At 39.0% G+C, this 15252-nt stretch overlaps 1 protein-coding gene across 3 annotated transcripts in view; it reads right to left on the reverse strand.

Annotated features, from left to right (window-relative positions):
* Positions 1 to 15252, reverse strand: part of SLIT3 (slit guidance ligand 3) — a 639400-nt gene that overhangs the window by 571572 nt on the left and 52576 nt on the right. For all 3 annotated transcript variants that reach the window (NM_003062.4, NM_001271946.2, XM_017009779.1), the window contains exon 3: positions 11394 to 11465. In NM_003062.4, the coding sequence (NP_003053.2) occupies positions 11394 to 11465 (72 nt within the window). The remainder of the gene's footprint in view (positions 1 to 11393; positions 11466 to 15252) is intronic.

The raw sequence follows: 15252 nt of genomic DNA on the forward strand, positions 1-15252 counted from the left end.
CGCGCCCGGTCGGCATTGGTATTTTTTGGTGCTATTGTAAACATAGTTTTTTTTAATTTCCCAATTGTTTGTTGTTGGTATATAGAAATTGTCTTTTTTTTTTTTTTTGGTGTATTGACCTTGTGTCCAGTGACCTTAGAAATCTACTTAAGAATTCTGATAGTTAGGAAGAATAGCTAACGTGTGCTGGGCTTAATACTTAGGTGATGGGTTGATACATGCAGCCTTTGTGCACCTAACAACACAATTTACAATCTAATGTGCCACCATGGCACACGTTTACCTATGTAACAAACCTGCACATACCGCACACGTACCCCGGAACTTAAAATTTAAAAAAGAATTCTGATAGTTTATGTGTAGATTATTTTATATTTTTCATGTAATCCATCATTTAAATAATGGCACTTAAATTTGTTTTATTCCAATCTTTATATCCATTCTTTTTCCTTGGTTCTGTGGTTTTTTGGCTCCTCTCTCTCCTTCCCTCCCTTTTCTCTCCCTTCCTTCCTTTCCTATTTTTCGAATCATTGCCAGAACCAGAATTTCCAATACAGTGTTTAATAGAAGCTATGACGGCAGGAGTCTAGTTCTGTTAGGAGAAACGTTTTCAATATTTCACCATCAACTTCGATGTTTGCTGTAGGTTTTTTAGGTAAAGAATTTCCCTTTTATTCTTAATATGTAAAATGCTTTTAAATCACAAATTAGTATTGAATTTTATTAAATACTTTCTTCAGTATCTGAGAAGAGGAAATGACTTTTCTTATTTCTTCTGTTAATGTGATTAATTACATCTTTATTTTTGAAACAATAAAAGTATATTTGTTGTTCATGTCACAGCCAAATTCAGGTCAGCAGGGGCCCTGGATCCTTCTACTTTGTAGCTCTACATCCTCCTTAGAGTGCTGTCAATTTAGCCAACATAGGGAAAGAGTACAAGTATGGAGGGTCATGAAGGGCATGTCACTTCTACTCTCATTCCACAGAATTCCAGACGCAGTCACATTTCCGCACCAACTTCTAGGATTTTTGGAAGTGTTGACTGTGTCTGTCCTATACCAATGTCTCTCCAGTCTTTCGGTTGTATGAAGCTTGTTGTTTTTGTTTTTTCTGAGATGCAGTCTCACTCTGTCCCAGGCTGGAGTGCAGTGGCACAATCTTGGCTCACCTCAACCTCCACCTCCTGGGTTCAAGTGATTCTCCAGCCTCAGCCTGAGTAGCTGGGACTACAGGCGTGTGCCATCACACCTGGCTAATTTTTTTTTTATTTTTGGTAGAGACGAGGTTTCATCGAGGTTGGCCAGGCTGGTCTGGAACTCTTGACCTGAAGTGATCTGCCTACCTCAGCCTCCCAAAGTGCTGGGATTACATGGGTGAGTCACCGCATCCAGCCTGAAGCTTGTTCTTTGTAGACTCCTTAGAAAGTGTCCATGGGCACCATGAGGCCTAAGTTCTTGAATGTTCATAATAGGTAGTCTGCAGTCACTGCACTTGAATGTCAGCAAGGCTAAATATAAATGCTGTTGCTCACATTTTATTTTTTTAGGTTATTCACTTGTATTCTGACATAAGGTTTTGGCATCAAAAAGTAGGCAAGAAATCCAATTTTCTTTCATTATGAGTCTCTGATTGAATGCTTAAGGACTTTTTCCTTTAAAATGTAATAGTTTATTAGAACATATTTTGTTTTGACCCCTCAGAGTTGACTTTTCCAAACATTCAGTGCACTTCCTCGAGGTACCTTCTAATCATCTTTTAAGAACATTTTCTTGAATAGTAATTATCAGTACTATCAGTTTTGTTTTGTTCCATTGTTTTCTTCCTCAGAGATTCCTATTATAAGTTTGTTAGAACCTCTTTGCCTAACTCTCACTTTCTCTTAAATCCCTTTATCTCTATATTAATTTCTTGTTGACTTAAGAATACTCTTTCCATCTTCTATTTCTTTTAAAGCAGTATTCATCCATTTCTTTTTAAAATCCATCTAGATTAAAATATATGTATGTATTTTTGGCATAAAAAACATTTATTTTGCTCGTAAGTCTGTAAATCAAGAAGGGTTTCATGGGTCAGCATAAAAACTTTTTATATTAGAATAGATTTTGATTTACATAAAAGCTGGGAAGATAGTACTGAGAGTTCTCATATAGCCCATACCCAATTTCCCCTATTAACATCTTATATAATACAGTTGTCATAATTAATGAAGCAATCCTGTTGCATTTATTATTCACTAAAGTCAATACTTTTTTCAGATTTTCTTAGTTTTTACTTTCTGTGTTTATTTCAGCATCCCATCCAGGATACAACATTACATTTAGTCATTATGTCTCCTCAGGCTCCATTTGGCTGTGACAGTTTTTCTGATTTCCCTTGTTTTTCATGACCTTAACAGTTTTGAGGAGGACTATTCAGGTATTTTTTATGAAGTTTCTCAATAGAGATTTGTCTGATGTTTTTCACTTAAGACTGAGATGATGGGTTTCGGGGAGGAAGATCACAGATACAAAGTAATATTTTCATTGCATCATATCGAAAGTACATACTATCAAATGATTTATCAATGTTGACACTGACCTTGATCACACGGCTAAGGTGGTGTGTGTCATATTTCTCCATTGTAAAGCTACTGCCCACTCCCTTCCCTTTTCACATAGAACTCTTTCGAAGGAAGTGTCTCTGTGAAGTCCACATTTAAGGAACAGTGAGTTAGGTTCAATCTCCTAGAGGGCAGAGAACCTACACAACAAATTAGTTAGAATTTTTCTGTATGGGATCTTTCTCTTTATTCCATTTATTTATTTACTCATTTATTTCTGTGAGTATGGACTCATGGATATTTAAACTTTGGTAATAATTCAATAATTATTTTGTTACTCAAATTGTTCCAGCTTTGGCCACTAAGAATTCTTTGTTTGCTTTTACGTCCTTTTGACATACTCCCCAAATTGTGGGGTTTCACATTTTGTTTTGAGCACTCCCTTTATGGCACAACAACATGCCTCAGTCCTAGAATAAACCATTTTTCCAAGACGCTTTAATTCCTTTTTGTGTGAAAATGATTTTAAAAATCATCAACTGGGTGCTGGGCATGCTCATTGCTACTCCAGTGTTGTTGCTTCCAGGCCCTCTTGCTGACAGAGCAAGAAAAGTGTTTTGTTTTGTTTTTTTTTTTTTTGACTGAATCTCCCTGTCACCCAGGCTGGAGTGCAGTGGTGTGATCTTGGCTCACTACAACCTCTGCCACCTGGGTTCAAGTGATTCTCCTGTCTCAGCATCCTGAGTAGCTGGGACTATAGGCACATGCCACCATGCCTGGATAATTTGTTGTATTTTTAGTAGAGACGGGTTTTCGCCATGTTAGCCAGGATGGTCTCAATCTCCTGATCTCATGATCCACCCACCTTGGGCTCCAAAAGTGCTGGGATAACAGGTGTGAGCCACCACACCCAGCCAGAGCAAGGAAATATTTTTTGCATATTAATTCATATAAATACATGTATCAAAAATATTTCTATGTATATATTCATTGATATTAAATAAAAGTACCTACAGTAGGCTAAACATGAGTTGATACTGATGTCTCAAACTCTAGTCCATTCCCACATATTCTAGCTTTCTCCACTGTTTGTTTCTAACCACCCATTTCAACAGCAAGAAATCTGTCCTCACCATCCACCATCTATTGTTCAATTCCAGTATACGTGTACAGTGTCTCAGAACTGTTAACCCATATCCCCAGGGGAAACAACTTTACCAACTAGAGTACAGTTCTTCTGTGCAGTTCCTTTTGCCTTTAGTCTTACAGACTCCACTCATTTCCACAGCTTAGGTCAGCACCTTTGCTCCCTTAAGTTCAGTGACGCTGATGCATACATTCATCACAGTCTGCATTCCATCCCGGGATACCCCACTCTCCTACATGACTTTTTAAAAATTTGCACGCATTATAGTTCACTCTTTGTGTTGTAAAATTTTATAGGTTTTGATAAATGCATAGTGTCACGTATCCACCATTTCATTATCATATAGCATAGTTTTACCATCCTAAACCCCACCATCCCCCACTGTGCTTTATTCAACTTTCGGTTCCCTCTTCTGCTCTGAATCCCTAGCAACCATAGATCTGGATTGTATAAGACTATGTTTAACTTTTTAAAAAGCTGCTAAACTGTGTTCCAAAGTGGTTGTACCATTTTGTATTACTGTCAGCAATGAATGAGAGTTCCTGTTACTCCACCTCACCAGCAATTAGCATTGTCAATTTTTTAAATTTTCACCACTGTAATAGGTGTGTAGTAGTATCTCACTACACACCTATTTGCATCACCCTAATGAAAGAAGCTGTTGAGTATGTTTTTGTATGCTTACTTGCCAGCTGTATATCCTCTTCAATGAAGTGCCTATTTGAATCTTTTGTCCATTTCTTTCCTTTATAGGGGGAGAGTGGTATCTGCTTACTGTTGAGTTTTTAAATCTCTTTGTATATTTTGCATATAAATTCTTTATCAGATACATGTTTTGAAAATATTTTCTTTATAGTTTTACATTTTACATGTAGGTCTATGAATCATCTCGACTTCAATTTTGTGTAAGATGTAAGATTTGTATCCAGATTCATTTTTCTGTATCAGCACCACTTGTTGAAAAGATTATTCCTTCTCCCTTGAATTATCTTTACACATTTGTCAAAAATCAGTTAACTGTATTTGCATAGGTCTATTTCTGGGCTCGCTATTCTGTCCCGTTGATGTGTGTGTCTATTTTTTCACAAATATCATGCTGTCTGGATTACTATAGCTTTACAGTAAGTCTTGAAACTGGATAGTGTAATTTCTACAAGTTAGTTTTTCTTCAGTATTGTATTGGCAGTACTTATTTTGAAGTACTTCTATTGTTAAGTTCTTTTTTGAGTTCTTCACCCCTCCTTTCAAATCCTACATTTCTCTTATTAAATTTCTGAGTTTTTGAAATTCAGACTTATGTTGTACTCTTATAATTTATATGTTCTTAAATTCTTCTAGCCAGTTTTCAACTATTCTATTACAGTTTATTTGCTTTGTGGGTATCTCCTTTTATATGTTTTCATTGTTTCTAAGAAAGTTCTGCTTCTCATACTTTTTCTTATTTAAAAACCTTTATATGGGCTTCAATCAGAATCCTTTTAACTGCTTATTTTTTAAGTGAAATAAATTTCCCTGTAGTTTTAGAATGGAGCAGTGAAATAGCTTTTTTTTTTTTTTTTTTTTAAGATTTAAGACTCTAGAGCTCATTCTGGTTTTTGCAAAGCAATGAAAAACATGGCCTTGTATTTTCCAAGATTTGACTCTTCTGGTGAATTCTAACATTATACTTCTCAAGGAGTTCTCTTTTTATTTCTACTATTGTTCCTTTTCTGATCAACTGCTCCCAGAAGTTTCTTACCAATGTTAGACCTTTCCTAGGAAAAGAGCCTCATTTTTGTTTGAAGAGTTTATAGGCCCCAGAATGTTCCAAGTATTATCAGTCATTATTACATCATGGTTCCTTTGTACTTACCATGAATTGGATCTGATAGAACTCTCTTCTATATTTTGCAGCTTTTCTCAGATTGGCCACTGTATTTTCCAATGAGTAGAGATGGGTAATTTAAGGGATGCCCTCTTCTCAGGGTCCTAAGAACCGTAGCTGCCTTCCCTCTGCTTTCTCCCACACAGATGAGATACCACAACAGTCTTGAAACCATCTACTGGGGATTCACTGAATTACTGCTCCAAATAATTTTATTGTAGATGTTGTGTATGTCTTTGGTTTTGCTGTCCTAGTTTTTCAGCATGTTTTTATTTGAGAGGTGAAATTTCCACTATTAAACCAACCTTGCCTTCTTTGAATAAGCTAAATTTGGTTGGAATATATTATCCTTTTCACCTATAACTGAATTAATTTGCTAGTATTTTGTTAGGAAATTTGTAAAAATATTCATGAATCACATTGGTTTATATTTTTTTCTTGAAATGTCCTTACTGGGTTTTGTTCTCAAGGTTATGCTGGCTAAATAGACAAATGTTCATTCTTTTAACAGAATGAGTTTGTATTAAGTTGCTATACTTTATTCCTTAAAACTTTGTTAGAATTTATTGCTAAAGCCATCTGAGCCTAGATTTTTTGATGGAATGTTTTAAATATTTAATTTCTCTAATTGATATAAGACAGATTTTCTATTCCTTCCTGTTTCTATTTTCAATTTCATTTACTCTTTAAAATCATTAAGATAAACTTGTTCAAAGTCTGCTCCTATTATCACTTTAATATTTATAATATCCATACTAATATCCCCCTTTTTATTCTTCATGTTGGTAATTTAGTCTTTTGTGTTTTGATATGTCTTGTCAGTGTCTGTAATTTTAGTTGCTTCAAGAATTAGTTTGGCTTTTTAGAATTTTTCTATTATACATTCATTTCTATTTCTTATACTTCTGCTCTTAATAATTTCCTTTCTTCTGTTCTGTTGTTCTTGCCCTAACTTTGTAAGGAGGATATTTTAATCAAGATATGTGCTTCTTTTAAAATAGATACTATACATAATATATACCATGAATTGAATAATATAGCTTAAAGGCTATACATTTTCCTCTGAGCATGGCTTTGGCTGCAGTCCACACATTGTGAGACATTGTATGTTTATTAACATTCAGAAAAATATGTTCTAATTTCCACTGTGATATGTTCTTCAACTCGGAGTATTTAGAGGTATATTACTGAATCTCAAAATATTTTGGATTTTTCTACTTTTCTTATTAACTTCTTGATTATTCCTGCTGACAGAGAACATGCTCCATATGATATCCTTTGGTATTTGTTGACTTGCTTTCTAGATCAGTATATAATAAAACTTTCATATGCCCTTGAAAAGATGTCTATTCTATGTTGTTTAGAGTGTTCTCTATATATCAGTTACATCAGGTTTACAAATATTGTTATTTAATATTCTATATTTTTACCAAGAATTGTACCTCCTTGTTCTATTAATTACCAAAAAGTGTATCTTAACTATGATTATAAATTTGTCTATTTTTTTTTTAGTTCTGTCAATATTTGCTTTCCATATTTTCAGGCTATGTTTTTAGACACATACAAATACAGATTTGGTATATCTTCCTGGGATATTTCCTATTTTATCATTACAAAATTCCCTCTTTATATCTAATATATTTTCTTTAAAGTCTATATTATCTTTAATAGAGTGACACTAACCTTTCGGTTAGTGTTTTCATGCTATCATTTTCTTTTTTTTTTTTTTTTTTTTACTTTCAAGTTTTCTCTATCCTTATGTTTAATGTTATTCTTTTGTAAAAAGTATATGTTTGGTATTTTTTAAATACACTGACAATCTATGTTTTTTAATTGGAGAATTAGTGCATTTACATATAAGGTAATATGATATATTCATGTTTAAATGTATCATCTTTCTGTTTGTTGTCTATTTGTTCTATGTTCATTTTCCTTCCCTTTTATCCTTCATTTTAATTCATATTTTGTATCATACTGTGCTCCTTTCCCCTGAGACTATCATAATTTTTTGGCTTTTTTTTTTTTAGAGGCTATGCTACAGATTTCAACATACATCTTTGACTTAATAAGGCAATAAATATTAGCACTATTACTTCCTGAATAATTTAAGGATCTTAGAACATTTTAATTCCATTGACCCTTCCAATTTTGTGGTACTGTTTCTATTCTATTCTAAGCTTTTTTTGAACTTAAAAGTCAACTCCCATGTTTTTCTTGACATTGACTTTTTTAAAAGATCAGGGCAGCTGTCTCAAAGAATATCCCACTTACAAAGTGTGTTTGTTTCCTCTTGGTTTAACTTTTTCCTATATCCCATCCACTCTCTGGCAACCAGAAGTGAGATCCAGCTAAATTAGGTTTAGGTAAATATATTAAGCAAAGTACTTCGTAGGTGATACTTTGAGTTTCATGTTTTATCACATCATATTTTATGATAATTCTAACTTCACAGTATTCTTGCATCGATTACATGAGATGGTATATGTAAAGTGCCTGACATGCTATCTGACATATGATAAAGAGCAGAATTTCTCAACTTTGGCACTAGTGACATTTTGGGCTGAATAATTCTTTGTTGTAGGGCCGTCCTGTGCATTTAAAGATGTTGAGATATTCCTATACCCCATCGGCTGGGTGGCATCTCCCAGTTGTGACAATCAAAAATGTATCTAAACATTACCAAGTGTCCTCTGGAAGGCAAAATTAGGCCCAGCTTAGAATCACTTATATAGAACAAAAACTCAAGCGCTTTAATAAATATTCCTCAAGCACTTACTGTCATGCCTCGCTCAAGTCTGTGAGATTAGGAGCTAAATGGGACATGAATCCTGACCTCAACAGTCATGGTTTTGGGAAGAAACAATCCAGAAAACAGGGAATTAAAATATGGTGTCATAAGTGGTGTGATAGGAAGACACCTGTGTTATGAGAGTAGGGGTACCTAACTCAGCCAGAGGCATAGGGTACTTTCATGGGGGAATAGAGAATTCTAAGTTGAGACCCAGAGGACAGACTTCCTTTCCCTTTCCCAGGAAGACCCAAGAGAACAAACCAATAATGACTACTCAGAGTGGAAATAAACCCTCCAGAAATGAAGTATTATAACCCCTATTATTTCCAGGCTCTATCTTAGAATGTGATCAATAAAGATTTATCTATTACAAAATACAAAGACACAGATAAGGTGAGCCAGGAGAAAGAGCTAGAAAGGCACAATCCACCGTCATATTATTAATAGCAAATGTATTATGTTTTCCAATTCTACATCTCCCAGTCTGTATGAAAACAGAACGAATAACCAAAACCAGATTAACGCCTATCAGGATTAATGTCACACACATCCCTTCTTGCTAACACTGAAAGGTATTATGAGAATGACTATTCAGCTGTGTATATGAACCCAGCTGCCTGTGTTTCTAATGTTCTTCCTGATTAAGTACTTCTTCAGATCACTTGCAATAGAAGTCAGAGATTGGCCAACTGTTCACTAAGCCTGTTTCCTCTACTTCCTGGGCACAAAGCTCAACTACCTTTCCTCCCGCCTCTGTAGTTTCCTGTGGCCACATGACTGAGTTCTAGCCCAAAGTATGTGAGACTGGAAGTGACATGTACTTCTTGAAATCTGCAAACTTCCCATGTGAAATTTTTCATGCTGTTTTCTCTTCTCCTGGCTTGATGCAGACAAACACTGGTACCTTGGAAGCCAAGATTTAAGGAGGGTAAAGTTGAGGAGAAGAAGAAGACTTTGTCCCTGAGTCTCCACTTGGAGGAGAGAGGCCTTATCAGGAATGCCCATATTGGGTTTTACATGAATAAGTAAACGTCCACTGTGTTAAGTCACTGAGATTTGAGGGTTTATCTAGCACAGCAGCTAGCATTACCCCACCTAATACACCAACACGGAGAAATAATCAGGTTTCCTCTGCAACTGTAATCCATTCACTTCCCCAGACATGCATGGGTATTTCAGCCTTGTTCACCAAGCCAAAGAAAAGAGGCTTTGCCAAAATATTTCATCGATATTCCCTGGAGTTAAATGTTTATGCGAGAGGCTACTCTCAGGGCCCTTACTAAAGATCACACTTCATCTAGTATCTGCTGCACATGAGTATGAAAGAACATCATCTTTCATGTCAGACAGAAGTGGCTTTGAATCTTGGCTCCCCTCCTGACCATTCTTTGACTCAGTCTCTCTGGGTCTGTTTCTTCATCTGCAAAATGAGGGTAATTACACCTCATAGGAATTTTTGTGGCAATAAAAAAATACAAATAGCATGTAAAACACTGGCATAGTTCCTGGCATGTCCAAGGTACTCAATTAGTTCCTTCCCCAAAACCAGGAAATTAATGAATTGGGAATTGTTTTCACTCTTCTAATCAGAAGGCTAAGCAAGGGGTGGCCTTTTCACAAAGGACCACGTATTCATTTTTCTGTAGAAATGCTGAATATTTCATACAAAGGAACCAGGTTCAACAAATACTTTTATGTTCTCTTTGGTCTAAATAAGAAGAACTTGAGTGTTAAGAAACTTAAAAATAAACGTGTAAACAGAGACAACATTCATTCTTTTTATAATTATTTTCCCTTGCAAGAAATAAATGTCATATTTTCAAACCAACACCAGCAGAACATATGCTGGGATTTGACCCAGAAGGAGAACAATAAATGAGACGGTTCACACAACAGAGAGGGAGGAAAGCATTTTTCTGGGTAATACTAACTGACGTGCAATGGGGACCTTCCCTGTTCTTATGTGGCCCCAGATAAATTGACTCCAGGGGAAAAGATGGCACATCTCAAAGCTAACTAGTCAGGGACAAGCACACCACCTTACCCAAGCCCACCTCTGTAAATGAGATTTGGCAACCAGACAGGTAAACAGAACACAGTTCTTCTAGGGAAGCCGGCAGAGCCGTGAGCTGTTGCAGCTTCATCCCTCTGACTGCAGAAGAAAGAGGCTGAAATGTCAGGGCAACCAAGATTCAGAGAGAACTTTGAAGAGAGCCACCCACCAGCATGACTAAGTGCTCTTGGGGACAATCCCTGCTCAGAGGGCAGAAAGCAAATATCCAGATGTTATGAGCTGCCAGATGTGATTAACAGAAGAAAGGTGAAGTTGCCTACTTAACCATCTGAGCAGCTCTCCTCAAAGTAATCCAAGAGTTTTCTGCAAAAGTATTCATCAACAAAACAAATGGAGGCTCCAACCATCTTCCATTCCCATCCCTTTTCCTCTTTCCCTCTCATTGAGTCAGAACAGTGGCCTATTTTTAAACCACTGGCAATGCATTCTCTCGTGGAAACGTGGGGGCTTCTTGACACAGGCTGATGCTCACTCACAGGAGATACAAGCGCGCTGAAGGCTGCGCCCACTCACCAGTCCTTCCTCTCCCCGCAAGAGTGGGGCAGAGAACACTCAGGGAGGAGAAGGCCTCAGGAGGGAGCTTCTGCCCGTGCAGAGGACTAGGGACTATCTGATGCCAGATCTCATGGCAGGGATAACTGCAGACTTCCCTCCTCCGTGGAAGGGAAGGTTTACACTTGGGTAAAAACCAGCCCCTTATACAGGTACCAAGACAGAGCTCAAGCCTGAGAAGAAGGGAAACAAGCCCTGAAAGCTGATTCTAGCAACTTTTACAGAAAAGGAGTGTAAGTGGATCTCAGTGTTTCTTTAACATGCATCTAATGTGCCTTAAGTATAATAGCAAACATTCTATTTAAACACTGGAGACCTTTTTTAACAAGGTTATAAGGCCAATTTACAAAAACAAAACAAAACAAAACAAAAAACACTAAATGTAAATAAATACTTTAAGAAAGGAGGCTGTACTGTACTTACAGTCGCTCTAGCTGCTTCAGGTCCTGGAAGGCGCCTCTCTCGATGACGCTGACCTGGTTGTCTTCCAGATGCCTACAACCACAGAGACAGCAATGACTAAGGACAAAGCTGGGCTCAGGGACCCTCATACTAGGCTTCATGCCATGCAGGCATGGTCACTCAGCCCTTCCCATGATCGTCAGTGTCCCTTCAACTGGGATCAGTCTGATGGGACAAGATAACTCATATCCCAGCTTGGTGTCACGGTAACCAGGGTTTTGCCGCCTGCACACTTCTACCTGACAGATTGGTTTCCATGCCTCTATTTTAAGAATGTTCTCAGTAAATGTCCCCCCAAGCACTGCAGGATGTTGCACAGAAAAGGAAGAGGTAAAAGCTGCTCTTTATAAAAACCACACATAGATTCAGCATCTCTTCCCTGGGAGCTCCCTCCTCCAAGGATTCAAAAATACTTCATTGAAAAGGGCCTTCCCAGCTCACCCTAGTAGAAAGGGTGAGGCTATTGTGAAACGACTGGCTGTCGCTAAGAAAACCAGCCTGGTCCCAGGAACTCCTCTCACTGAGACCCCAGCTAATCCCAATCTCATGATGATGGTCCTAAAAGATCAGGCTCCCTCCCTCCAGCCACACGCTTCACTCACCCGCCTCAGTCCTCCAAGCAGGTGATTACAAATCCTAAACACTCTGTATAAGTGAGTCTGGTTCACGCATAGAGTATATCCAAAGAATTTAGCATATAATGAAATGTTTGTTTCCCTAACTTAAAAAAAAAATGGCCGCTTAAATGGATGAGCTGAACAGCAGGGGAGAGAAACAATGAAGCTATGTAGCTTCCATTGGGGGCTGACCTTAGGCTGGGAAATGACACAGATTGCACATGGTGGCTGAATGGGACTTAACGGGGATGCAATTGTGATTGGAGAATGTTTCTTTAGAAAGTGGAGTTTCGGAAGGGCTATGGATTCCTCTGGATTACTCAGGAGGAGAGGTACCCACAAGCACCTAAGCAAATGGCAGATGGAGAGGAAGAGCAACCCTGGGAAGGCTGCATCTTTATATCAAACTGAATGCTCCATGACAGTCTCTCCCCATTAGATGTTTCATAACCTCCTGCACTTCTCAGCCTTAACACTTGGGCCCTTGTGTTTAGTTCCCAAGTCTATCTTCCCCACTATGCCTAAGGAGCAAGAAGATAGACATTCTGTCCATCATCCTACTCCCAGTCCTAACACAGTTGCCTAGCACAGCAGGCACTTCATAAATCCTTACTGAATGAATGAAAACCTATAGAAGACTTTGGGCCATGGCACACACCGATTGTATATGTGTCTGGGACAGGTAACTGTTTCGTTTGGGCTCGATGATATTTTACATTTTTGTGAATTTGTTGCCAACAGTTGAAAATCAAGATATTTCACATGTACTCACACCCACACCCCGCAAAAGAAACTCCTTTTGACAAATCAGCTCTCACATTTCCAAATATCCATTGACCAGAAGTAGAACTGGTCAGGCGAGGGTCCCCAGCCCCACAGTTTGCCATGTCCTCATCTGCTCTGCTTCTCACATTTCTATTACTTCTGGCCCCTTACAAGCTCCTCACTTAACACCTATAGAAACGATTGAAGGGAGAGGCTAAAAGACTTGCTCGAGGAGAAATTATTTATGCCAATTCCCACAGCCAGGTAGGGTGGGCCTTCTAACTCCCAGTCTGGTGAGCATAGTAGATTTAGTTTAGAAGCCCTGTTTTGCTTGCACATTAGCTGATGATATAAGAGTGGGTTAACTAGCCAACCTCTCTCAGATTCAGTTTCTTCATTTGTAAAACAGAGAAAATAAAACACTGCAAAAGTTCTTACGAGAACAAAAATGGAATAAATAAGTAAATCATCTAGCCCAGGTTCTGCTATACAATTAGAGGCTTAAGAAATGTTGGCCGGGTGCAGTAGCTTACTCCTGTAATACCAGCATTTTGGGAGGCTGAGGCAGGTGGACCAGGAGGTCAGGAGTTCAAGACCAGCCTGGCCAACATGGTGAAACTCTGTCTCTACTGAAAATACAAAAATGAGCTGGGTGTGGTGGTGCATGCCTGTAATCCCAGCTACTTGGGAGGCTAAGGCAGGAGAATTGCTTGAACCCAGGAGGCAGAGGTTGCAGTGAGCCAAGATCGTACCACTGCACTACTCCAGCCTGGGTGACAGAGCAAGACTCTGTCTCAAAAAAAAAAAAAAAAAAAAAAAAAAAGGCTGGGCACAGTGGCTCACGCCTGTAATCCCAACACTTTGGGAGGCCCAGGCAGGCAGATCACGAGGTCAGGAGTTCGAGACCAGCCTGATCAACAAGGTGAAACCCTGTCTCTACTAAAAATACAAAATTAAGCATGTGCCTGTAATCCCAGCTACTTAGGAGGCTGAGACATGAGAATCACTTGAACCCGGGAGGTGGAGGTTGCAGTGAGCTAAGATTGCACCATTGCACTCCAGCCTGGGTGACAGAGCAAGACTCTGTCTCAAAAAAAAAAAAAAAAATGTTTTTCCCTTCTCGTCTTCCTTTTCCATTCCACCATATGCAAGGAGGGCCTTGGAATGCTAATAGTCTCACACTAGCACGTCACGCTAAATAGGGTCCCACTTCAACACTACTGACTGGAGGTTTGCTGAGCTAAGTTTTTACTATCCATCCACCAATCAAATCAGTCACAGACTTTGTAGTCATTATTTCCTTGCTGGATGACAAGGACCAACTCTAGGGTATTGTAAGTACCACATTCCCTCTGGGTTTCTGAGGGAGCCTAACCCAGCCCTTCTATAATGAATCTTAGTTCTGTGCTAATGAATCTAACACTTCAAGCTTCTTTCAGAGATGGGAATAGAAGAGATGCAAGGATATCTATATGAGATACACCGTTTCCACCTTGTGCAGGCCCTGGAAAGCTGACTTTTATTGGCTTCATCAAGAAGTTTTTTTTTTCCCTCCAAGACAAGGTCTCACTTTGTCACCCACGCTGGAGTGCAGTGGTGCAAGGTGCTGGGACTATAGGCGCATGCCACCACACCCACCTAATTTTTTTTAGGAGGGGACATAGAGACAGGGTTTTACGATGTTGCCCAGCCTGGGCAGCCTTGTCCAGGCTGGTCTTGAACTCCTGAGCTCAAGCAATCCACCCACCTTGGCCTTCCAAAGTGCTGGGATTACAGGCGTGAGCCACCACATCTAGCCATCAAGACCATCAAGAAGTTTTTTGACTTCTGGATTCCTGTCAGGTTCAGCCAAAGAGAGTCACCGGCAGGAGATCAGAGGGTGGAGGAAGAGTGTGGTTGGGGGATTTACTCTTCTCCTTCCCTGCCAAGCCACTTCAGGCTGACTGCATCCCTCTACCTAAGACCACAGCTTCTGTCAAGCAGTCCCTACTTTTGCCAGGCTCTGATAACCACTTCCTCCCTGTGCTCCTTAAGGCCCAGGGGACAGTAGTGACCCCGTTTTGACTCTAGCCTCAAGGAACTACACTATCTCCTCTACGTTTCTCTTAATCTTGCCCACACCGCTAAATAAGTCTTTACTTCGCTCTCCTCATTTGCCCTCTTTTCTGCTGGGACCCTCACTGACCAAGTATCCACATCCCTTCCAGATCTACTTCCTAGTTCCATCACATTCCAGCCTAGAACCTGGCAATCAGAGGCTCAACAAATCATCGATATTTGATGAATAAATGGATCAGTGAATGAATGAGCTAAGACCCTCCCATCCAGACTTCTGGGCTGAGATGCAAGCCAGGAGCATGCACTAAAAGCCACTGATACCTTCCCCACATTTTCAGACAGGGGAATCCGGGAAGGGCTGGACACCCAGAAAGGCTGTC

This window comes from Homo sapiens, chromosome 5 (genome assembly GCF_000001405.40).
Source record: "Homo sapiens chromosome 5, GRCh38.p14 Primary Assembly".
NCBI classification, from domain to species: domain Eukaryota; kingdom Metazoa; phylum Chordata; class Mammalia; order Primates; family Hominidae; genus Homo; species Homo sapiens.